At 48.6% G+C, this 1540-nt stretch overlaps 1 annotated feature.

Annotated features, from left to right (window-relative positions):
- Positions 223-1109: an enhancer, noted in NCBI's record as "H3K4me1 hESC enhancer chr17:55887988-55888874 (GRCh37/hg19 assembly coordinates)". NCBI's record gives its function as "activates a minimal SCP1, AML or CMV promoter by ChIP-STARR-seq in naive H9 embryonic stem cells {active_cell/tissue: H9 hESC(naive)}" and the evidence as "EXISTENCE:reporter gene assay evidence [ECO:0000049][PMID:30033119]".

Genomic DNA, 1540 nt, shown 5'->3' with positions numbered 1-1540 from the left:
ACAAACCCACTCGGATATGAGCTAATGCCATTATCTTCCTGAAATTAAAATCAAGCCTCAACCTATAAAGTTTCACAGAGAGGGAATTGGGGTTGTATATTCCTGCGTTGAGCGGTATTCTATTTCAGTCATAGCATTTAATTATGATCGGTATGTTAGTGCCCATCGGAGCATAACAAATTGTCATTATGTTATTCTGCTGAGTCTAATTTAATTGGCAAGTTGTCACAAAAGCAATTATCCATCATTTATTTTGTTGCCATAACCACATCTCGAAGAGCACCTGCTGTCTGCGAGGAGAAATGCGCCACAGTCTCTCAGCCCTGGATCCAGGCCACTTATCTGACAGAAAGACATTGCTTCCCCCTTCTGATTTAAAAATATGTTCCTCATTTCCTGCTGCGGTCTCATGAATCCTCCTGGGGGAGCCTCAAAGTGCCAAAGGAAATTCATAGTCTGGGAAGTTGCCCGAGAGGTCTGCCCCGCCCTGTCAGGGGTGGGTGGGAGGCAGCGGGAGGACGCAGACCCCCGTGGAGGGCCCGGGACCCGACTGGGTCAGGCTTCGCTCCGTCAGCTGTTTCAGCGCCACCTCAGTGATGGATTTATAAATATTTGTTGCTCTTTTCTCCCCGGACAAGCCGCGTGCTCGCTCCCTGGGAGGCAGGATTGTTTGGCCACTTCACAGAGAGAGAACCCGAGGCCCAGGGAACCGAAGGCCCCCGGTCACGAGGAAAGTCTGGAGAGCGGCCAGGACCCCAGTGAAGACCTCCGGAGTCCAAAGGCTTTTTCCACTCTTTGGATCAAACATGTGCAGGCAAAACCTAGTTACTTTAGGCCTGCCAGAGTCCCAGACTGTGCCTCTGGGTGCAGGGGGGGACTGTCGTCCTAGGGCTAGATCTGATTGGCCCCATTTCACATGGAAGCATCAGGCTGAGAGCTCATGATAGCGTCTGGGACAGCGACTGCCCAATCTCCCTGGAGTCTCTGAGCCTAAATCTCTGGGAGGCCCTTTTATCCTGCTCCTACTCGGGTGCCTCTCCGTGCCTGGACTGTATCCCCCACACCCACAGGCAAGCCAAGGCAAGCAACATTGTCATACGATTTTTTTCTTCCCTGAAGCAAGGAAGATAGTCAGTCCTAAGGGACGATGAAGCCTCCAGGTCTGTCTCTGTCCTGGGGGCTGGAAGTGGGTGAAAAAATTATTGATGTTCTTGCTTCCATGATGGTCTTTTTAGCATAGTCACCAAAGAACTCGTTAAAAACACAAACAAAATAACAAACAAAAACACCACCAACAAAACAAACCAAAAACCTACCACTGTATTGCAAAGGGGATAAAGGAACCAGACTTTTAAATAAACCAGCTTTTTCTTTTGGGTCAGTCAGGTACAATTTCCAGGCTTTCTATTTGAGGGCAGTGGAAGATGACCAGCTCCCTGAACAGGCAGATCATCTCTTGCAACTCCAACAAACAAACAAACAAACAAACAAAACCCTCTCATTGCAATTGCTGATAAAATAAACTAGGGATGTTCAGACT

Source organism: Homo sapiens, chromosome 17 (assembly GCF_000001405.40).
Source record: "Homo sapiens chromosome 17, GRCh38.p14 Primary Assembly".
Taxonomy (NCBI): Eukaryota; Metazoa; Chordata; class Mammalia; order Primates; family Hominidae; genus Homo; species Homo sapiens.
Note: the sequence above shows the minus strand (reverse complement) of the source record. Positions and strands in the feature narration are given on the sequence as shown.